Source organism: Homo sapiens, chromosome 9, assembly GCF_000001405.40.
Source record: "Homo sapiens chromosome 9, GRCh38.p14 Primary Assembly".
In the NCBI taxonomy this organism is placed as follows: domain Eukaryota; kingdom Metazoa; phylum Chordata; class Mammalia; order Primates; family Hominidae; genus Homo; species Homo sapiens.
In genome coordinates this window covers 7,691,184-7,715,450 of record NC_000009.12, presented here as the reverse complement: position 1 = coordinate 7,715,450, position 24,267 = coordinate 7,691,184, and the positions used below count along the sequence as shown (strand labels likewise).

At 39.8% G+C, this 24,267-nt stretch overlaps 1 long non-coding RNA gene across 1 annotated transcript in view, besides 1 other annotated feature; it reads right to left on the bottom strand.

Annotated features, from left to right (window-relative positions):
• LOC124902118 (uncharacterized) overlaps positions 1-24,267 on the bottom strand; it is a 65,144-nt gene that overhangs the window by 6,650 nt on the left and 34,227 nt on the right. The window lies entirely within an intron of this gene.
• Positions 1,448-2,647: an enhancer, noted in NCBI's record as "BRD4-independent group 4 enhancer chr9:7712804-7714003 (GRCh37/hg19 assembly coordinates)". NCBI's record gives its function as "activates an origin of replication core promoter dependent on BRD2, P300/CBP, MED14 and CDK7 cofactors, and independent of BRD4, by STARR-seq in HCT116 cells {active_cell/tissue: HCT116}" and the evidence as "EXISTENCE:reporter gene assay evidence [ECO:0000049][PMID:35650434]".

Genomic DNA, 24,267 nt, shown 5'->3' with positions numbered 1-24,267 from the left:
CATTATTATTGTGTGGGAGTCTAAGTCTCTTTGTGGGTCTCTCAGGACTTGCTTTATGAAACTGGGTGCTCCTGTATTGGGTGCATATATATTTAGGATAGTTAGCTCTTCTTGTTGAATTGATCCCTTTTCCATTATGTAATAGCCTTCTTTGTCTCTTTTGATCTTTGTTGGTTTAAAGTCTGGTTTATCAGAGACCAAGATTGGTCTCTGCTTTTTTTTTGCTTTCCATTTGCTTGGTAGATCTTCCTCCATCCCTTTATTTTGAGCCTATGTGTGTCTTTGCAGGTGAGATGGGTCTCCTGAATACAGCACACTGATGGGTCTTGACTGTTTATTCAATTTGCCAGTCTGTGTCTTTTAATTGGGGCATTTAGTCCATTTACATTTAAGGTTAATATTGTTGTGTGTTAATTTGATCCTGTCATTATGATGTTTGCTGGTTATTTGCCTGTTAATTGATGCAGTTGCTTCCTAGCATCGATGTTCTTTACAATTTGGCATGTTTTTGCAGTGACTGGTACCAGTTGTTCCTTTCCATGTTTAGTGTTTCCTTCAGTTACTCTTGTAAGGCAGGCCTAGTGGTAAAAAAATCTCTCAGCATTTGCTTGTCTGTAAAGGATTTTATTTCTCCTTCACTTATGAAGCTTAGTTTGGCTAGATATGAAATTCTGGGTTGAAAATTCTTTCCTTTAAGAATGTTGAATATTGGCCCCCACTCTCTTCTGGCTTGTAGGGTTTCTGCTGAGGGATCCATTGTTAGTATGATGGGCTTCCCTTTGTGGGTAACCTGATCTTTCTCTCTGGCTGCCCTTAACACTTTTCCCTTCATTTCAACCTTGGTGAATCTGACAATTATGTGTCTTTGGGTTGCTCTTCTCGAGGAGTATCTTTGTGGTGTTCTCTGTATTTCCTGAATTTGAATGTTGGCCTGCCTTGCTAGGTTGGGGAAGTTCTCCTGGATAATATCCTGAAGAGTGTTTCCCAACTTGGTTCTATTCTCCCCATCACTTTCAGGTACACCAATCAAACACAGATTTAGACTTTTTCCATATTTCTTGGAGGCTTTGTTCATTTCTTTTCTCTTTTTATCTCTAACCTTGTCTTCTTGCTTTATTTCATTAATTTGATCTTCAATCACTGATACCCTTTCTTCCACTTGATTGAATCAGCTATTGAAGCTTGTGCATGCATCACGAAGTTCTCGTGCCATGGTTTTCAGCTCCCTCGGGTCATTTAAGGTCTTCTCTACCCAGTTTATTCTAGTTAGCCATTCGCCTAATCTTTTTTCAAGGTTTTTAGCTTCCTTGCGATGGTCTAGAGCATGCTCCTTTAGCTTGGAGAAGTTTTGTTATTACCGATCTTCTGAAGCCTGCTTCTTTCAACTCATCAAAGTCATTCTCCACCCAGCTTTGTTCTGTTGCTGGTGAGGAGCTGCGAGCCTTTGGAGGAGAAGAAGCCCTCTGGTTTTTAGAATTTTCAGCTTTTCTGCTCTGGTTTCTCCCCATCTTTGTGGTTTTATCTACCTTTGGTCTTTGATGTTGGTGACCTACAGATGGGGTTTTGGTGTAGATGACCTTTTTGTTGATGTTGATGCTATTCCATTCTGTTTGTTAGTTTTCCTTCTAACATTCAGGTTCCTCAGTTGCAGGTCTGTTAGAGTTTTCTGGAGGTCCACTCCAGACCCTTTTTCCTGGGTATCACCAGCAGAGGCTGCAGAACAGCAAATACTGCTGCCTGATCCTTCCTCTGGAAGCTTCGTCTCAGAGGGGGAACCGCCTATATGAGGTGTCTGTTGGCCCCTACTGGGAGGTGTCTCCCAGTTAGGCTACACGGGGGTCAGGGACCCACTTGAGGAAGCAGTATGTCCATTCTCAGGGCTCAAATGCCTTGCTGGGAGAACCACTGCTCTTTTCAGATCTGTCAGATAGGGATGTTTAAGTCTGCAGAAGTTGTCTGCTGCCTTTTGTTCAGCTATGCCCTGCCCACAGAGGTGGAGTCTAGAGGCAGTGGGCCTTGTTGAGCTGCAGTGGTCTCCACCCAGTTTGAGCTTCCCAGCCACTTTGTTTACCTACTCAAGCCACAGCAATGGTGGACGCCCCTCCCCCAGCCAGGCTGTCGCCTCGCAGTTTGATCTCAGACTGCTGCGCTAGCAGTGAGCAAGGCTCCATGGGTGTGGGACCTGCCAAGTCAGGCACAGTAGAGAATCTCCTTGTCTGCCAGTTGCTAAGACCTTGGGAAAAGCGCGGTATTTGGGCAGGAGTGTCCCACTTTCCCAGGTAAGTCTGTCATGGCTTCTGTTGGCTAAGAAAGGGAAATCCCTCGACCCCTTGCACTTCCCATGTGAGGCGATGCCCCACCCTGCTTCAGCTCACCCTCCATGGACTGCACCCACTGTCCAACCAGTCCCAATGAGATGAACCAGGTACCTCAGTTGGAAATGCAGGAATCACCTGTCTTCTGTGTCGATCACGCTGGAAGCTGCAAACTGGAGCTGTTCCTATTCGGCCATCTTGGACTACTTTCGCATTCTCTGGATTTTTTTTTTTTTTTTTTTTTTTTTGGAACTGGTTGTAACTTTTTTTGTGGTTCCCTCTTTAATTAATGAATTAAACAAAATCTTTTATACATATTCATTTTATATCTGCATAACAGTCATGATTAAACCTTTAAAAAATAATTAGCCTGTAACAATGTATTCTGCAACAGTATACCCAGGAAATATAGGCACCTTCCTAATTCTAGGACATAAATCATGAAAAATCTGCTACAACTATGATAAAGGTAATATTATTCTCTTTTGCCTCTGATTGGTTTGGAGGTTATCATGTGACTACATTCTGGTCAATGAGAAATATATCAGGAGGTTCTGAGAGAAGTGTACTTCCCTGATAAATAAAGTGAATGAGAGCTAGCAGAGGAAAGTAGGAAATGCATTTTCTCTCTTGCCCTTAGATGTTGTCTTGTGAGAGCAGGGTGCTTGGAAATGCAGCTGCCATCTTCAATAACACTGAGGGAAGCTAAAGAAAATCTCAGATAAGCCATCTCTGAGTCCTGACATCATTTATTGAACCTCTGCATTAGTCAATCAACTCAGGGACTACTTCTCCCAGAGCTATTAAATTAGGTAATAATTCCTCAGAGTTTAATCTGTGTCAGTTGGTTATTTAATTACATGCATCTATAAGCATTTTAACAAATCTAGTTACAGATTCCGAAAGAAAAAGTACCTAGGCAATCTGACATGGTCTAAACAGTCCTATGGTAAGTCATGTGTGCAGTGATTGTAACGGTAGGTAGAAAAAGGTGGCTGTGGTGGGTTGGACAAGGGAAGGACATTGATCAACAGGATAGAAGGGTGGGATGTGATAGGAAGACAGAAGCAGTGGTTAGAAGAGTTTTAGTGGAGCAGCAGTGCTATGGTCTGAATGTTTGTGTTTCCCCAAAATTTATAGGTTGAAACCTAATATCTAATGCAATCATATTAAGAGTTGGGGACCTTCAGAAGTGATTAGGTCATGAGAGGAAATCCCTCATGCATGGGATTAGTGCCCTTATGAAAGAGACCAGAAGGTGCATGTTTGCCTTTTCTTTCTGCCATGTGTGGACACAGTAAAAAGGCACCATATATGAAATGAGCCTTCATAAGTCACCAAATCTCCTGGCACATTCATCTTCAACTATCCAGCTTCTAGAATTGTGTGAACAAAGACAGGCAGTTAGCAAAAAGTGTTTTCCATTTGTGCATTGTTGTGCCTAAACAACCCGTAGTCTCTCTGGCCCCAGTTGCCTACTAAAGATTACATAACCACAAAGCTAGACTAGCCTCCAGACCTCCTATCCCCAATGAGATACTGATTTCAACTATAAATGAAAATTAGGTATGCCACATTCACAGTGATCCGTGCATCATCTTCATCACTTCTGTTTTATTGAATGTTTACTTCATGGCAGTAAATTTGATAAACATATCATTATGTACATTATGTTATTTGATCTACACAATTCTACGATTGGATATGGTAGATTGTTGCAGTCCCAATTTGGTTTTGTCTCTCCGTAACTACACCCTTGGGTAGTCAACTCTCACACTGACTCTGGGCTTGGCCAATGGGACAACGTGCCTTGTGTTGGCTAGTAGAACAATAACATGATACAGGCAAAGGCTTGTAATAAACTTGACCACTGGGGGATGTCCTATGTTGATGCTCCTGGGAATGTTGAGATTGGTGCTATATGAATAAGCCCAAACTAGCCCATTGGAGACATGTGGTATATTCATCCCCATGACCTTAACAAACAACCAGTACCAACAAACAGCCAGCACAAATCACAAGACATATGGCCATTGTAGACCAACTAGTCCCCAGTTAACCCTTAGCTGCATGCAGCCACATCCATCAGTTCAAGTGAAGCCAGCAGAAAAACTATCTCACTGAACTCAACTCCAAATTGTCAGCTCTTAGAACCATGAGCTATTAAATTATCTTTAATCCCCTAAACTATAGTCAACAAAGACTAATTGATAAACTGGAATGTATAATATCCATGTCCCAATTTTACAGGCAAGGAAAACCAAGAGGAAAAATGCCCAAGGCTATACAACTAACAAAGGCTGCATTTATGATTAAAACCCAAATCTATCTGACTTCAAAGCCCCTGTCTTTGACAGCAATCTCAAACAATATATTCTGAGCAAACCACTAATTGCAAAGAACAAGAAATATGCCCCTAAAACCTTCCTACTTTTCTGAATGACATATGAATTTCTCAACCTTGATCTCTTTAACCCAGTGGTAAATGTAACTATCACTAGCTTGTACTATTAGTAAAACACTAAATTAAAAAAAGTTTTGTCGGTTTATGATTCACTGCAAAATGTAGCATTTCTTGTTGTTGTTGTTGTTGTTTGCTTTTTGTCCTGAATTTACAATTTTAGGTTCATAGGTTTGGCCCAGTTTCTGATAAAGTAGGATTCTGTGAAAATTTTCATATTCCCTATAACTTTGTGGCTTCATGATGTCTTTCCATGTACCTGTGTGTTTGCCTATGATGTTTCCTTCATATCCCTAATATCTACCCTCCTCATATAAAGACCGTCATTCTGATTCAATGGCAGTCCTGAGCTCTCCCATCAGAGTTACTGCCTCTCCTTTGCGTTTTATGGCATTTGGCACATACCTCTATTATAGTGCCTACAATACTTGCTCTCATACCTGTCTTTTCCACTAAACATATTCCGTATTGAATCCTCAACACCTAGGATAGTATTTGGCATGCAGCAGAGGCTAAATAAACTTTGTTAAATAAATGAATTAAATAATCAATCAATCAAAAATAAAACTGTTCTCAACTCACTTCTTCAGTTGTATCTCAAATGATTCCTCATCTCCCATCCTCTATTTCAATTAAATTGAATTACTTCTCCATATAGACCTCCCTACATGTTGAAGAGACAGGCTGGATATTCATTCATCAAGCCCATTTTCTCTTCTTCCTGGGTACACACATTTCTCTTCTCACTAGACTACATTTTCCAGCATCTCTTGCACTTGGGTGTGGACATGTGCTTAAGTTTTGGTTAATAGAATATAAGCAGAAGTGATTTGTACACCTTCCAGGCCTGGGCCACAGAAATTTCCTAAACTGTTTTTTCCATACTCTTTCTCCTTTTACCAGCTTAATGTAGGTGAGCACAGTGACCTTGGAGGTATTAAAGATGAGGAAGCCAAAAGATGGTCCTTCAATCACCGCTTGTCAGATAGTCAGAACTAAACAAAAATTTCCATTTTGGACTTTATGGGAACAAGAATTAAACTTCTATTCTGTTAAATCACTGAGATTTGGGGATTTATCTGTTATCCCTGCAAACTTTATCTCAACTAATATACTGATGCTGTATCTTTGGTTTTCTGTAGCTCCACTATATCGTACATCCTTGTCTCTAATATGTGCTTCTCCAGTTGTACCCACACTTTGAGATACAACTTTAGCCATTATGCCTTCCATGGTCCTTCCAATGGACACTAGTCTTCCTCTGAAATACTCTGATGTTTTACCTTCATATCTCTTAGACATGTGCTGTGTTCTACTTGCATCACTGATATTTAAGTTATATTTCTAAACATAAAATGCTAACATTCAAATAACCCTGTGATATGAATCTTGTCTTACTCATCTCTATTGTCTTCACATCACTCAACATGCAGCCTTATGCCAAGCAGACACATAAGACATTTTTTCAAATCTGTATTTGTGCTCTGCACACATCATGTTTTAGACATAAATACACTTACCCATCTTGAGGCAAGTATATTAATTTGTTTTTATTTTCTTTTTAGTCTGCCCTCTTTTTCTTGATTTTTCTTCTCCTTAGGCATTTTTCCTTGCCATGTCTCATAACTGTTTCCAGTGCCATTAGATCTTTCTTGAGGACCCATGATCAGAATGACATGGAGTCCAATATTCCAGATGTGGCTCTCCCATTAATATATTGGGCAACATTAACCACTGGGGTTTTGATGAGTCTTTATGGGAGATAACATAGTGATTACATCTTTCTCCCCTAAACCCAAAAATGTGTCTGTCATTTAAAAAAACAATTAAATCATCTATTTTAAGTTGATGGAGTATAAATCAAGAGTTTTTTAGAATAGAACCCATTCTGAGGGTTGGCTTCATCTCCTTCTTTCAGACCACAGAGCCCTAATGGGAGTCATTTGAGGTTGGAAAAGCTAAACATAATAGGTCCTGGATTTCCTGAACTATACTGAAGACTGTAACATTTAGAAACAGAACTCTGAGCATTAAATCCTCTGAGAAGGAGGAAGATTTAAATTCCTCTAGAGCACTTAATGTTTTCTTTTTGCCTTTTTAATCCCTTAAATGGAAATGAATTTAGAATAGTCTGCGCCCAGTGGAAACCGGGTTTTGGTTTTTAACATCTATACATCTAAACCTTGCAAAGGTGAGTTTTAGGTGTTAAAAAATTTTACATCATGTTAAAAAAATGAGCAGAAGGAATGAACTCTTTATTCCTATACAACACAAAAATCTTAGAGAAAATTCCAATTTTCCTGTAAAACCTACAGGGATTTTTTTTTTCTCATTTGTGTGCTCTTCTCTCTTCCAAGCCCCTGGTAACACCCTACCAGGGACTGGCACAGGGATGTCATGGGGTGGGAAACATAAGCACCTGAGGACTGTCAATAGAACCATAAAAAACAGTGCGATGGTGCAGTCAGACATGGTAAAAGGTAGATGGCAATAAGGTTAATGCTGATGATGAAATCAGCAAGTGTCAAGCAGACAATGCATGGTGAAACCATCTGATAAATGGAAAAGGAATGCAGAATGGTAATTAGAAAATACTTCCATGGTTATCGTAGAAAAGTCTGAAAGCCTTCAGCTTAACCCCATGCAGCTGAGAAAGGAAAAGCGCGGCTTGAGTATTGCTGGAGGAATACATTATCTATCAAAGTGAGGGCAATCTCTGAAGATTTTTTCAGGGAAAACCAACTTCAGAAATTTTATCCTCTTTTTCTCTTTCCTGCTTTGTTTCTCTAACCACCCTGCTTTATTTAATAGCAATCAGTCCAAAGCACTTCTGTGATGAAGAATGCACTGTAGTAAAAGCACTCTCATCAGGCCCGATTATACTTTCCACCACTGCTACTTAATTACCAGGTCTGTGACCTTAGCCAATATTCTCATCTCTCTGTAGCTCAGCTTTCCAAGGGGTTAGGTTGGCTGATCTCTAGAGTCCTTTCTGGTTCTCAAGTTCTCTGATTCTTTCATTCTTGACCTCAAAGTCTTTTTCTACCCTAATTTACATTATTTAGTATCTGTCTATCACAGGAGCAGCCCAGATGGATTTCTAATATCTGCCAGCCCCCAGAATTTATCACTCAATAAAGGAAGCTTGCTTAGGAGTCAGGAATTAATGAAGGCCTATGACTTTAAGTGGCCAAAATTGAGATGAGCTGGTATAAGATTTTTAGATAGCCCCATGGTGAGTTGAAGCCTCAGAGCACCTTAGGGTTGGCTAAGCACTGAAAATTTAAGAAAGTTAATATTTCTGTGTGAGACTGAGATGATGAATTATTTATTATTTTCAGTAGGCATATATTGGAACCAACTCAATTTGGTGTTTACATTTGTAAGAAAAGCACATTTGGGGTAAGGGTGGCACCAGGAGTCATTGGCTGCCAATCTTTCTAGAGCAGGTTTTTAGCAGACAGAATTTTCCTGGTTCATTTACTATAGTCCACAGTAAAACCTGCATTGTAGGCTCAAAAATGTCATTTGGCAACAAATCTTTAATATATCTAAGCTCCCATATGAATATTAACTAGTTCCCAGTGATTACTGTGTAGACCTGGATGTCAATTTTATTAAGTTATAGGAATTTATATATTCTGGCCATGCAGGTAGCATGACTGGTACATTATTTTCCACCAAATTACTAGTAGGGATTCCTTTGGAGCAAAGAATCATAATAGAGGAGCAAATGCAAGAAGAGCTCATCAACTGAAAAAAGCTTTGGAAGCTCTTTTCTGGCATAGGAATAGCCAAGCCAATGGGAATATGACAAATACTCCTTGGTACTTATAGACTTAATAGTTCTGGTCTTGACTATTTATGACTGACCCCAAGGACCTATAAATGACTGGAGACATGGTGAACACAAACACAGAAGCAAGGCAGTTTTTCCAAATGTAGTATGTGCACCACTAATGGTATGCAGAATGCTTGTAAAAGATAAAAATCCATGTGTACATAAGTGACCCAATTTAAGATTTAAATCACCCCTGCATTTAAATTATAAATACAACATTTCAGCTTATATAAAGCAAAAGGATTGAAAGCAAAATATGTATTAAGGATAAAGGAGGGAAGAAGTTGAGGGTTACATTTGAAGGGGTTAATGTGGAAAGGGGTAGGCCCTAGGAGCAGGAAAGGAGAATTTTTGGAACAAAGCTTACAAATTACCTGAGGGTTTTGTTAAAATGCACATTCTGATTCAGCAGATGTGGGGTGGGCTGAGGGTCTGTATTTCTAACAAGCTTCCAGATGATACTGATCTGATCCAAATGCCATGCCTTGGGTAGCAAGGAAGATTCTAGAATCTTTCACTCCACCAGAATGGAAATGGCCTCCAGGTGAACTGGAGATAAAAGTTTCTATGATATTTAATTTTCTAGTTACATTCTATTTATCAAAGTGACATAGGCATACCTATAGTAACAATATTACTTTACTTCCATCTAACTCTATTTTAGTAAAAAAAAGTGAGTTGTTTTCAAGATAAATATTAAGTAAGTATGAGTAAAAGTGTACTTTAAATTTCAAAAACTGTAACATAGGTTTGCAACTGACTTATGGAAAAGTGCTGACATGAAGAGTGAACGTACACTCAGTATCCCATTATTCAAACTATGTGGTTTCTCACTTTAATACTTTAATACAAGAGCTTATTTAAACTTTACAACAGCTAATGAAGTTGACACTTTAAATCTGTTTTACAGATGAGGAAATTGGTTTATACCCATTATCCCATTATTCAGATCATGTGGTCTTGTTCTCATTTTAATACAGGATTTAATTTAAACTTTACAACAGCTTTATGAAGTTGATATTTTTAATCTCTATTACAGATGAAAAAATTGGTTGAATTCTATGATATTTGGGGATTATTGAAGGTCTCAGGATATTGTCTCTTATACTTGACATTTACTCCCTGAGGCACCCCTGCCCTTCTTCCTAGGCACTGCTGTCTTTGAGCACTCCCTTCCCTGCACATTTATGGTTAAACAAGCCACTTTGCTTTTACTCATTCATTATTCAGATGTGTTAACACTATCAATAAGAATACTTTCTCCATCCTGGAAATCACCCCACATCTTCAAAGTGATGTCCAACATCTTTGTCCTTATTCATTGTGTTGACTTTATTATTGAACTCTCAAGGCACATTCTTATTTTCAGTTTCTTGTGGGGCAACTCACTGTATCTTCCATGTACTGGATATTTTGATTCCTAGTAAATCAGTTGCTTATCTAAGGCAGAGGAGCGATGGCAGAACTCCAAGCAAACTTCTTCACTTGCAGTTCTCTCAGTGGATAATAATAACCTATCACAATGATATCCATTATAATGAACACTTCGTGCTTTCCCTTTGTAATAAGACCTTGTTACTGAGCTAAGGCTCTGTATGCAATAAGACAAGATTGACTTCTAAGAATTGAAGTCATCAATAAGTTTGATCTTATGGTCTTAGAAACCTTGGGGTGACTTAGTTTAATTGGGAAAGAGCTGTAGCTAACATAAATCCAAACAGACTTACTGAGAGGAAAGTCATTATTAAAATAACCCAAGTGCTTAGATACATAACCAAAAGAATCCGGGGACAAATAATTCTGTACTAAAGGGTAATAAACATTTGAGAGAACTTATAAAAACAGAGATGGCAGGAACAACTTGTCCAAAAGATAGGACTGGCAAGTGAGCTTATTAGAGGGAAAAAAATAAAAAAATCAACTGCAAAATAGAAAGATTGAACTAAAGATAAAAATAAAAATGGTCATTTTCTTTATCTCATGAGTCTTTATTAATCTTTTTTGTTCAGTGTATAAACTGTGCACTATAGCTGACTTTCAGATTACATTACTGAGAGTAATAAAGCAGCATATAGCTCTCTGGGTGAGTCTATTTACTCACTGGGCTTATCAGTAAAAGTGAGTGATATGATAGCAACAATAAGGTAGCAGTAATGGAAAGGATACTTAACCAGATCACCAGAGAACTAGATTCTAACACCAATTTTGCCATTAGCTAATTGTACTGAAATGGACAATTCGTTTGCCAGCTGAGGATCTTGGTTTCCTCACTGATAAAACCATGATATTAAACCAGATAATCCTAAGAACTATTTCAGCTTGATGTGACTTGGCTGTCTCCCCCACCCAAATCTCATCTTGAATTGTAGCTCCCATAATCCTCACGTGTTGTGGGAGGGAGCTGGTGGGAGATAACTGAATCATGGGGATGGTTTCCCCCATACTGTCCTAGTGGTAGTGAATAAGTCTCACAAGATCTTACGGTTTTATAAGGGGAAATCCCTTTCGCTTGTTTCTCATTCTTTCTTGCCTGCTGCCATGTAAGACATGCTTTTCACCTTCTGTCATGATTGTAAGGCCTCCCAGCCACGTGGAACTGTGAGTCCATTAAACCTCTTTTTCTTTATAAACTACCCATTCTCGAGTATGTCTTCATCAGCAGCATGAAAATGGACTAATACACAGCTCTACCCTTACCTGCTTCAGGGCTGGAACTAGACCAGATGCTCTCCTGAGGTCTCTTCCAATAAAGGATCTCTGATTTTTAATTACATCGAGACATAAATATTGCAAAAGTATATCCATCCTTATAAATATGTGTTGTGCTTATTATGCTTTGGATAATAGTTATTGGCAATCAAGGAATCACTTGTTTTAGCCCTGACCATATCAGTAGTCCCTTCAGTTTCTAATGTGAGGTTGACTTTTTCTTCAGGTTATGATTATGAACCCATTCATTCATTCTCTCTCTCTCTCTCTCTCTCTCTCTCTCTCTCTCTCTCTAATTGAGTCTAAAATTTCCTTGGGGTAGGTCATACCTATTTACCCAGGTTAAGTTTGGAAGAAAGGTATTAAAGAGACAGACCAGCTGCCCTCTAACAGCATCACCCCCTTGGGGTACAGCAGCTCAATTTTATCAGTCCAAGACTTTTGAGATCAATTCATGTTAATCAGAGTGACTAATTCACAACAAGAAATTAACAGTTTAAAAACAAAACAAAACAAAAAACCTCTCAGGAGGGCAGAGCAAGATGGCTTAATAGAAGCATATGCTATCTTTCCCCCAGCAGTAACACCAAATTTTAACTACTACAAAATTTAACTACTACACACAACAAAGCCCTTTCACAAGAACCAAAAATCAGGCAAGCAATCATAGTACCTGGCTTCAACTTTATATCACTGAAAGAAGCACTGAAGAGGCTAGGAGAGACAGTCTTGAATCATTGACACTACCTCTCCTCCTCCACCCCCAAGCAGCAGCAATGTAGGATGGAGGGTCTGTGCACTTCCAGGAGGGAGAATACAGTCACTGAGGGACATTACATTGAACGCAGCACTACCCTGTCACAGAGGAGAGCAAAGCCATGCTGGGCTCAGCCAGTGCCTTTGCACAGAAGAAGCATTTGAATCAGATCTAGCCAGAGGGGAATTGCCCATCCCAGCTGGTGGAACTCGAATTTCCCTGCTGGCCAAAGTGATCAGAGGTTCTAGGTAAACTTGACAGGTGGTCTAGGACACAAGGACTGCAATTCTTAGGCAAGTCCTAGTACTGGTCTGGGCTTAGAGCTGGTGGACTTGGGTGGGGGCACGTGACCTAATGAGATACCAGATGCAGTGGCAAAGGAAGTACTTGCACCATCCCTCCCCAGTCCCAGTCAGTGGAGTCCAGAGCAATGAAAGTGACCCCTTCCTTCTGCTTGAGGAGAGGAGAGCAAAGAGTAAAGAGGACCTTGCCTTGCATCTTGGAGACCAGCTCAGACATGGTAGAATAGGGCACCAGGCAGAGTTGTGAAGCCCCCATTATAGGCCTTAGCTCAAGGACATTTCTAGACATACCCTCAGCCAAAAGAGAACCCACTGCCTTGAAGGGAAGGACTCAGTCCTGGCAGGATATGTCACCTGCTGCCTAAAGAACTCTTGGGTCCTAAATAACCAATAGCAACATCCAGGTAGTACACTGTGGGCCTTGGGCTCTGAGACATGCTGGCTTCAGGTGTGATGCAGCACATTCCCAGCTATGGTGGCTATGGTGAAAGATACCTTCTGTTTGAGAAAAGCAGAGGGAAAGTAAAGGGGACTTTTTCTTGCACCTGAGGTACCAGCTCAGCCACAGAGGGTAAAGCACCAAGCAAACTCTTGGGTTTCTCAAGTCCAGGTCTGGGCCCTTAGACAGTATTTCTGAACCTGTCCTGGATTGGAGGGGAGCCAACTCCCCTGAAGAGTGAGTCCCAGTCCTGACAGCATTCACCACAAGTTGACTGAAGAGCCTTTGGAATTTAAGTGAACATTGGTGGTGGCCTGGCAGAATCCTTCATGGGCTGGTGGTAGTGTTGGCAACTGGGAGAGGCTCCTCTGCGCCTGTAGAAAAGAGATGGAAGAGCAGGAAGAACTTTTGCCTTGTGGTTTGAGTGTCAGCTTAGATTCAGTAGAAGAGAACATCAGGTACATTTCTACAGCTTTTTACTCCAATCCCTGGCTCTCGGACAGCATTTCTGGACCCAACACACTGCCCTGAAAGGAGGGATAAAACCTGGCTGGCTTTGTCACCTGCTGATTATAGAGACCTAGGGCCTTGAGGGAACATAGGTGATAGCCAGGTATTAGTTACCTCGGGCCTTCAGCAAGACCCAGTGCTGTACTGGCTTCGGGTATGAGCCAGCATAGTTCCAATGGTAGTGGCCACAGCGGTGCTCATGTCCCTTCACCCCCAGTTCCAGGCAGCTCAACATAGAGAGAATGACTCCATTTTGCAGGGAGAAAGTAAGGGAAAAAAACAAGAGTCTCTGCCTGGTAATCCAGAGAGTTGTTCCAGATCTTGTCCAAGACTACCAAGGTAGTACCTCTATGAGTCTCCAAGAGCCACAGTGCTATTGGTCTTGGGACTGAAGTCCCTTCTAATACCTGGAAAGCATTCCTGAGAAGGTAATAAGCCCAAATTGCAAAGACTACAATAAATGCCTAACTCTTCAAGGCCAAACATTGACAAACACTGACAAACATTGAGACCGTCCAAGAAAACATGACCTCAACAAATTAACTAAATGAGGCACCGGGAACCAATCCTAAAGAAACAAATATGTGCTTTCAGACAGATAATTCAAAATAGTTATTTTGAGGAAACTCAAAGAAATACAAAATAACATCGATAAGGAATTCAGAATTCTGTTAAATAAATTAAACCAAGAGATTGAAATAATTAAAAATAATCAAGGCTGGGCTTGGTGGTTCACGCCTGTAATCCCAGCACTTTGGGGGGCCGAGGTGGGTGGATCACAAGGTCAGGAGATCGAGGCTATCCTGGCTAACACAGTGAAACCCCGTCTCTACTAAAAATACCAAAAAAAGTTAGCCAGGCATGGTGGCGGGTGCCTGGAGTCCCAGCTACTCAGGAGGCTGAGGCAGGAGAATGGCATGAACCCGGGAGGCGGAGCTTGCAGTGAGCCAAGATGGCACCACTGCACTCAAGCCTGGGTGACACAGCGAGACTCCATCTCAAAAAAAAAAAAAAAAAAAAGAAAAACGAAAAAAAAATCAAACAAAAATTCTACTGTTGAAAAATGCAATAGGCAATGAAGAATGCATTGGATTCTCTTAATAGCAGAACTGGTCAAGCAGAAGAAAGAATTTGTGAGCTTGAAGAAGGGCTATTTGAAAATACACAGTCAGAGGAGACAAAGGAATAAAGAATAAAAAACAATGAAGCAAGCCTACAAGATCTAGAAACTAGCCTCAAAAGGGCAAATCTAAGAGTTATTGAGCTAAAGAGGAAGTAGATAAAGAGACAGGGATATAATATTTATTTAAAGCAATAATATAAGAGAACTTCCCAAACCTAGAGAGAGAGATCAATATCCAAATACAAGAAGGTTATAGAACACCAAGCAGATTTAACCCAAAGAAGACTACCTGAAGTGTTTTAATAATCAAACTCCCCAAGGTCAAGGATAAAGAAAGGATCCTAAAAGGAGCAAGGGAAAAGAAACAACATAAAATGCTGCTTCAATACATCTTGTGGCAGACTTTTCAGTGGAAACCTTACAGGGCAGGAGAGAGTGGCATGATCTATTTAAAGTGCTGAAGGAAAATCTTTTACCCTAGAATAGTATATCCAGTGAATATATCCTTCAAGCATGAAGGAGAAAGAAAGACCTTCTCAGACAAACAAAAGCTGAGGGATTTCATCAACGCTAGATCTGTTCTACAATAAGTGTGAAGGGAGTTCTTCAATCTGAAAGAAAAGGACATTAATGAGCAATAAAAAATTAGCTGAAGGTACAAAACTCACTGATAATAGCACATAGAATATTATAACATTGTAACTGTGGTGTGTAAACTACTCTTTTTTTTTTTTTTTTTTTTTTTGAGACGGAGTCGTGCTCTGTCGCCCAGACTAAAGTGCAGCGGCATGATCTCAGCTCAATGCAACCTCCACCTCCCGGGTTCAAGTGATTCTCCTGCCTCACCCTGCTGAGTAGCTGGGATTACAGGCACCTGCCACCGCACCCGGCTAATTTTTGTATTTTTTTTTAGTAGAGACAGGGTTTCATCATCTTGCCCAGGCTGGTCTCGAACTCCTGACCTTGTGATCCACCTGCCTCAGCCTCCCAAAGTGGTGGGATTACAGGTGTGAGCCACTGCACCCGGCCACTATTCTTAAGTAGAAAGATTATGTTATGAACCAATCAAAAATAACAACAACTTTTCACAACATAGATAGTACAATAAGTCATAAAGAGAAACAACAAAAAGTTAAAGGGGGGATGAAGTTAAAGTATAGAATTTTTATTAATTTTATTTTTGCTTCTTTGTTTATGCAAACAAACAAGTGTTAAGTTGTCATCAGCTTAAAATAATGGGTTATATAATAGTATCTGCAAGCCTCATGGTAACCTCAGCTTGAAAAACATTCAGTGAATACACACACACACAAACCAAGAAATTAAATTATACCACCAGAAAAAATTATTTTCACTAAATGGAAGACAGAAAGGAAGGAAAGAAGGAAGAGAAGACAACAAAACAACCAGAAAACAAATAACAAAATGGCCGGAGTAAGTCCTGACTTATCAATAATAACAATGAGTGTAAATGGACTAAACTCTCTAATCAAAAGATAGAGTGGCTGAATTGGTTAAAAAAAAAAGTACCCAATGATCTGTTGCCTCTAAGAAACACACTTCACCTATAAAGACACACACAGAGGAAAACAAAGGGATAGAAAAAGTATGCCAAGCTAATGGAAACCATAAAAGAGCAGGGGTAGCTATACTTATATCAAACAAAATAGATTTCAAGACAAAAACTGTAAAAACGGACAAAAAGCCTAATTATATAATGATAAATTAGTCAATTTAGCAGGAGGATATAACAATTGTAAATATATGTGCACCCAGCAGTGGAGTATCCAGATATACAAAACAAATATTATTAGAGCTAAGGAGAGAGACAATACAATAACAGCTGAAGACTACAACATCCCACTTTCAGCACTGGACAAATCTTCCAGACAGAAAATCAACAAAGAAATATTTGGACTTAATCTGCCCTATAGAACAAATGAACCTGATAGATATTTACAGAACATTTTATCCAACAACTACAGCATGCACACTTTTCTCCTCAGCACATGGATCATCTCAAGGATAGGCCATATGTTAAGTCACAAACCAAGTCTTAAAACATTCACAAAAATTGAAATAAATTAAACATCTTTTCTGACCACAATGGTATAAAACTAGAAATCCATAACAAGAGGAATTTTGGAAACTATACAACACATGAAAATTAAACAATATGCTCCTGAATAATTGTGGGTCAATGAAGAAATTAAGAAGAAAATTTAAAAATTTCTTGAAACAAAAGATAATGGAAACATAACATACCAAAACCTATGGAATATAGCGAAAGCAGTACTAAAAGGGAAATATATAGCCATATATGCCCACGTCAAAGAAGAAAAACTTCAAATAAATAATCTAATGATGTGTCTTAAAGAACTGTAAAAGCAATAGCAAACCAAATCCAAAATTAGTAGAGGAAAACAAATAATAAATATCAGAGCAGAAATAAATGAAATTGAAATGAAGAAAATAATAGAAAATAATAATGAAATAAAAATTTGATTTTTTGAAAAGATAAAAAAATTGGCAAATCTTTACTCAGACTAAATAAGAAAGAATATCTAAATAAATAATATCAGAGATGAAAATGAGACACCACAATTAATACTGCAGAAATTCAAAGAATCATTAGTTGCTACTATGAGCTACTGTATGCCAATAAATTGGAAAATCTAGAGAAAATGAAATCCAGAGAAACTATTAGAAGTGATAAACAAATTCAGTAAAGTTGCAGTACACAAAATCAACATACAAAAATAAGTAAAATTTCTACATGCCAACAGAGAAGAATCTGAAAAAGAAATTTAAAAAGTAATCCCATTTACAATAGCCACAAATGAAAGTAAATACCTAGGAATTAACCAAAGAAGTGAAAGATCTCTACAATGAAAACTACAGAGCACTGATGAAAGACATTGAAAAGGACACCACAAAATGGAAAGATATTCCATATTCATGGATTGGAAGAATCAATGTTTTTAAAATGCCCACACTGCCCAAAGCAATCTACAGGCTCAATGCAATACCTATCAAAATACCAACATAGTTCTTCACAGAAACAGAAAACACAATCCTCAAATTTATATGGAACCATAAAAGACCTGGAATAACCAAAGCTATCATTGGAAAAATGAACAAAACTGGAGGAATCACATTACATTTCTTCAATTTATACTACAGAGCTATAATAACCAAAACAGCATAGTACTGGCATAAAAACACACATAGAATAATGGAACAGAATCGAGAACCCAGAAACAAATCCATACACCTACAGCGAACTCATTTTCAACAAAGGTGTGAAGAACATACCTTGAGGAAAAGAGTCTCTTTGATAAATGGTGCTGGGAAAACTGGATATCCATATGCAGAAAAATGAAACTTGATGCCTATCTCTCACCACATACAAAAATCAAATCAAAATCGATTAAAGACTTAAACCTAACACCTCAACCTATGAAACCACTACAAGAAAATATTGGGGGAACTCTCTGAGACACTGATTTAGGCAAAAGTTTCTTAAGTAATACTGTACAAGAACAGGCATTGAAAGCAAAAATGCAAAAATGAGATTACATCATGTTTAAAACCTTCTGCACAGCAAAGGAGGCAATCAACAAAGTGAGGAGACAACACACAGAATGAGAGAAAGTATTTACAAACTACTCATCTGCCAAAGGATTAATAGGCACAAAATATAAGAAGCTCAAACAACTCTGTAAGAAAAAAAATCTAATAATCTTATTTTAAAATGAGCAAAAGATTGGATGGGAGAGTATGTAAGAAAAAAAATGGGCAAAAGATTTCAATAGATATTTCTCAAAAGAAGACATACAAATGGCAAACAGGCAAATGAAAATTTGCTCAACATCATTGATCATCAGAGAAATGCAAATCAAAACTACAATGAGATATCTTCTCACCCCAGTTAAAGTGGCTTTTATTCAAAAGACAGGCAGTAACAAACACTGGAGAGAGGCTGCTTACAGTGGCTCATGCCTGTAATCCCAGCACTTTGGGAGGCCAAGGCGGGTAGATCACCCGAAGTCAGGAATTTAAGACCAGCCAGCCCAACCAACATGGTGAAACCGCATCTCTACTAAAAATACAAAATTAGCTGGGTGTGGTGGCGCATGCCTGTAATCCCAGCTACTTGGGAGGCTGAGGTAGAAGAACTGCTTGAACCTGGGAGGCAGAGGTTGCAGTGAGTTGAGATTGCACCATTGCACCCCAGCCTGGGCAACAAGAGCGAAACTCCGTATCAAAAAAAACAAACAAAAAAAAACTGGCGAGAACATGGAGTAAAGAGAATCCTTGTACACTGTTGATCAGAATGTAAATTAATACAACCACTATGGATAACAGTTTGAAGCTTTAAAAAATGAAAAGTAGAGCTACCATACAATCCAGAAATCCCTCTGCTAGGTATATACCCAAAAGAAAGGAAATTTGTATATTGAAGAGATATCCACACTCCCATGTTTATTTCAGCACTATTCACAATAGCCAAGATTTGGAAGCAACCTAAGTGTTTGACAACAGATGAATGGATGAAGAAAGTGTGGTACATCTATACAACGGAGTACTTTCAGCCATAACAAAGAAAGAGATCATGCCGTCTGCAGCAACATGGATGGAACTGGAGGCCATTATGTTAAGTGAAATAACACAGGCACAGAAAGACAACTTTGCATTTTCTCACTTATTTCTGGAAGCTAAAAATCAAAGCAATTGAGCTGATGGAGAGAGCACACAAAAGGATGGCTACCAGAGGCTGGGAAGGCAGAGGGGGAGTGGGTGGGAAGCGGGGATAGCTAATGGGTACAAAAAAAATAGAAAGAATGAATAAGATCTAGTATTTGATTACACAACACGGTGACTACAGTCAACTATAATTTCAGTGTACATTTTTAAATAACTAAAAGAGTATAACTGGATTGTTTGTAATACAAAGGATGAATGCCTGAGAAGATGGATATACCCCATTTACCATGATGCGATTATTCCATTTCATGCCTATATCAAAGTATCTCATGTGCCCCATAAATATATACACCTATTATGTACACGCACAAATTAAAAATAAAAAAATCCTCAAAAAATCTGAAATATCAAGGTTAACTGCTCAGTGTATTCTCAGTGATAACCCACTTCTGTGAAGTTGTTGCATGCTTGGCTGAGAGCAAGAGTCGAGGGAGTGGGATGATTTTAAAGTCTTTTCAAGACCTGAAGGCTGGACATACTAATTTCTATTCTAGATAGGTAAAGAATAAGTGAGCACTCATGCTAGTTAGCTAGATTCCTTTTCTCTGGACAGGACTGGATACACAGAGACTTATTCTTCCTGTCCTCTTCCCTTTTTCCAGCTTTCATGAATTCTACCACCCTGTAGCCACCATAGCATTGCCTCTTCAAGTATGCAGACAGTAATGTTAGTACTTAGGTAAATTCCTTCTGGAATTCCAACTTAGTCCCAGGACAAGGTGTTAGCCATCCTAATCTGTAGAATCTTCTCAGCAAAATAGATAGAAACCGTGTGAGGGTGAGGCCCTTCTGTGAGTAAAACATGCACTCTCATGCATGCTATCCCACTCTTAAAGGCTGACTTTTCCTGAGCCTTCCCTTAAATTCTGAGAGTACCTCTGAGAAGCTGCCTTTGTACCTACCACAGCCTTGAGTAAGCATGGACTAAAATAATCTGTTTATTTTTGGTCTCAACCTGTAATGTTTTGAGGAAGCACACTTTACAAAATCCTTCTAGTAATATGTGGTGAATAAAGTCCCCAAGGTGTCTGAAAGAATTTGAGTAGAAATTTAAAGCATCAAGCACACTATGGGTACCCCCCAAGGAGATGCCATGTGGAAGCGTTGAACTTGCACTCGGTGGGTCCTAGCTGACAGAAGATGCTGACTGGGTGTATGCAGCTATAGAGCTTGCCCCAAGGAAGAAGGAGCATCCCCCAGGATCTATTTGTGAACTGCTCTGTTGATGTTCTTTCACTGCTGTGTAGAACCCTCAAAGATTCTCAGCACTACCTAGAATCAAATGGTATTTCAAATGGTATTTTAGGCACCCTTGGAATCTTTACTTGGGCAATAAACATTATCTATAATTCCAGGGGGTGGTCCTTTGTCAGTGCTGCTGAACTAATTCACTCTTGCAGCCCAAACAGGCATAGATGAGCCTGTGGGCTCTGGAATTCCACATTTCAGGATGCCTACTTGCAGAAAAAGGGCAGACTGCATTGTCATCTTATAATCACCACAACAGCTGGAGGAAAAAAAATAGAACATCCTTGTTTCACTTCCAGAAGGGGTTTTTATAGCAACCTCTTTGGAATTTGTCTATGAATCTGCTGACTTCTTCAATCAGAGAGGACATTCTTTCTCCTCTCCAGATTAATTTCTCATCATTTTTCCTCCAGTCTTGCTCACCTGATTATGGCCACATTGTTAATATCACCTATAGATAACAAGTGTGCTCCCACCTCAGGATTGTTGCCCTTAAGGTTCTCTCTGGACACCTGCTCAGGTACTCTGTGAGTTACTCTCTCACTTTATCCAGGCTTTTGCTCAGATGTGACATTATCAAGAAGACTTCACTAACCATCCCACCTGAAATTCCATACACACTGCCTCATCCTTCTCTATTCCCCATGTTTTCTTTTTCTGCATAGCATGTATCACCAGTTTTTTCACTGTCTGACTGCTCCAACTAGAATATAAGTTTCACAAGAGCAGGAATTGTATTTATTTCCAGCTGTAACTCAAGCACCCAGAACTATACCTGGTATATTAGACCATTTTCACACTGCTATAAGGAACTAACTGAAACTGGGTTATTTATGAAGAAAAGTGGGTTAATTGACTCACAGTTCCACATGACTAGGAAGGCCTCAGGAAACTTATAATCATGGTGGAAGCTGAAGGTGAAGCAAGGCATGTCTTACATGGTGGCAGGAGAGAAAACAAGTGAAGGGGGAACTGCCACACTTTTAAACCATCAGATCTTATAAGAACTCTAAGACAAGAACAGCAAGGCAGAAGGTCTTCTCCATGATCTAATCACTTCCCAACAGGCCCTCCCCTGACACATGGGGATTAAAATTTGAGATATTTAGATGGGGACACAGAGCCACACCATATCATTCCACCGCTGACCCCTCCCAAATCTCATGTTCTTCTCACATTGCAAAACACAATCATCCCTTCCCAGCAGTTCTGCAAAGTCTTAACTCATTTCAGCAGTAACTCAAAAGTCCAAGTCCAAAGTATCATCTGAGACAAAGCAAGTCTCTTCCACCTATCAGCCTATAAAATTAAAAACAAGTTAGTGACTTCTAAGATACAATAGGGGTACAGGCATTGGATAAATGCACTGATTCCAAATGGAAGAAATTGGCCAAAACAAAGAAGCTACAGGCCCCATGCAAATAAAAAAACCCAGCAGGGTAGCCATTAAATCTTAAAGTCCCAAAATCTCCTTTGACTCCATGTCTTACATACAGGCCACACTGATGCAAGGGGTGGGCTCCCAAGGCCTTGGGCTGCTCCACCCCCATGGTTTGGCAGGGAACAGCCCCTGCAGCTGCTTTCACAAGCTGGCATTGAGTACCTATTGCTTTTCCAGGTGCCTGGTGCAAGCTGTCAGTAGATCTACCATTCTGGGATGTGGAGGATGGTGGCCCTCCTTTCACAGCTCCACAAGGCAATGCCCCAGTAGGAATTCTGTTTGGGAGCTCCAACCCCACATTTCCCTTCTGCACTGCCCTAGCAGAGGTTCTCCATGAGGGCTCTGCCCCTGCAGTTGATGTCTGCCTGGACATTCAGGCATTTCCATACATCCTCTGAAATCTAGGCAGAGGTTCCCAAACCTCAACTCTTGCCTTGGGACTTTCACCCTCTGTGAAGCCACAGCCCAAGCTGTACCTTGGCCCCTTTTAGCCATGGCTAGAGCTAGAACAGCTGGGACTCAGGGTACCATGTCCTGAGGCTGCACAGAGCAGCAGGGCCCTGGGCCTGGCCAACAAAACCACTTTTTTCTCCTAGGCCTCTGGGCCTGTGATGGGAGAGGTTGCCTTGAAGATCTCTGACGTACCCTGGAGACATTTTCCCCATTGTCTTGACAATTAACATTTAGCTCCTCCTTACTTCTGCAAATTTCTGCTGCTGGCTTGAATTTCTCCCCAGAAAATGGATTTTTCTTTTCTACTGCATGATCAGGCTACAAATTTTCTAAACTTTTATGCTCTGCTTCCCTTCTAAATGTAAGTTCCACTTTCAGACCATCTCTTTCTTCATGCATATAAGTGTACACTTTTAGAAAAAGCCAGGTCACATCTTGAATGCTTTGCTGTTCAGAAATTTCTTCTGCCAGATACCCTAAATCATCTCTTATCTTCAAAGTTTCACAGATCTCTAGGGCAGGGGCAAAATGCCACGAGTCTCTTTGCTAAAGCATAGCAAGAGTGGCCTTTGCTCCAGTTCCCAATAAGTTCCTCATCTCCATCTGAGACCACCTAAGCCTGGACTTCATTGTCCATATCACTATCAGCATTTTGGTCAAAACCATTCAACAAATCTCTAGGAGGTTCCAAACTTTCCCATATCTTTCTGTCTTCTTCTGGACCTTCCAAACTCCTCCAGCCACTGCCTGTTACCCAATTCCAAAGTCACTTCCACATTTTCAGGTATCTTTATAGCAATGCCCCACTTCTCTCAGTACCAATTTTCTGTGTTAGTCTGTTTTCACACTGCTATAAAGAACTACCTGAGATTGAGTAATTTGTGAAGAAAAGAGGTTTCATTGACTCACAGTCCTGCCTGGCTGGGGAAGCCTCAGGAAACTTATAGGCATGGCAGAAGGGGAAGGGGAAGCAACGCATGTCTTATATGGCAGCAGGAGAGAGAGAGAATGAAAGGGGAAGTGCCACACTTTTAAACCATCAGATCTTATGAGAACTCCATCATGAGAACAGCAAGGGGGACAGCTGCCCCCATGATCCAATCACTTCCCACCAGGCTTCTCCCCTCACACGTGGGGATTACAATTTGAGATAAGATTTGGGTGAGGACACAGAGCCAAACCATATCACCTAGTGTATAGTAAAAATTCAACAAATATTTGTTGAAAGAAACATAAGCAAACCAATTTGAGTTTCCTGCTTATTGCACTGATCAAGATTGGCAGTTCATGATCTTGGATATCCATCAGAATCACCTGGAGCCACTTAAAAATAGATCAGATTCCAGTACTTTACTCCAGATTTACTAAAGCAAAATATCTGAGGGAAGAATGTTCAGGAATCTCTATTTTTAATAAGCTTCTTGGGGTTTCTGATGTACAGTCAGACATGAGAATCAGCGGTCTAGGCAACAGTTTCAGGAATATAGGAGGAAATACTACATGGTGGCTAAGGTGTGAATATTTAGATCAGCCTGAATTTGACTCTCAGCTTTGCCATCTACTTGCTATTACATGTTACTAAACGTTTCCAAGCCTCAGCTTCTTTATACGAGTTGAGTATCCCTTACCAGAAATGTTTGGGAACAGAAGTGTTTCAGATTTTGGATTCTTTGGATTTTGGAATATTTGTGTATGTGTAATTAAATATCTTGGAGATGGGACCCAAATCTAAACATAAAATTCATTTATGTTTCATATATACCTCATGCACAAAAACAGGAGATAATTTTATATAATATTCTTCATAATTTTGTGCATGAAACAGCTTTGATTGTGTTTCGACTGCAATCCATCACATGAGGTTAGGTGTGGAATTTTCCATTTGTGGCACTGTCAGTGCT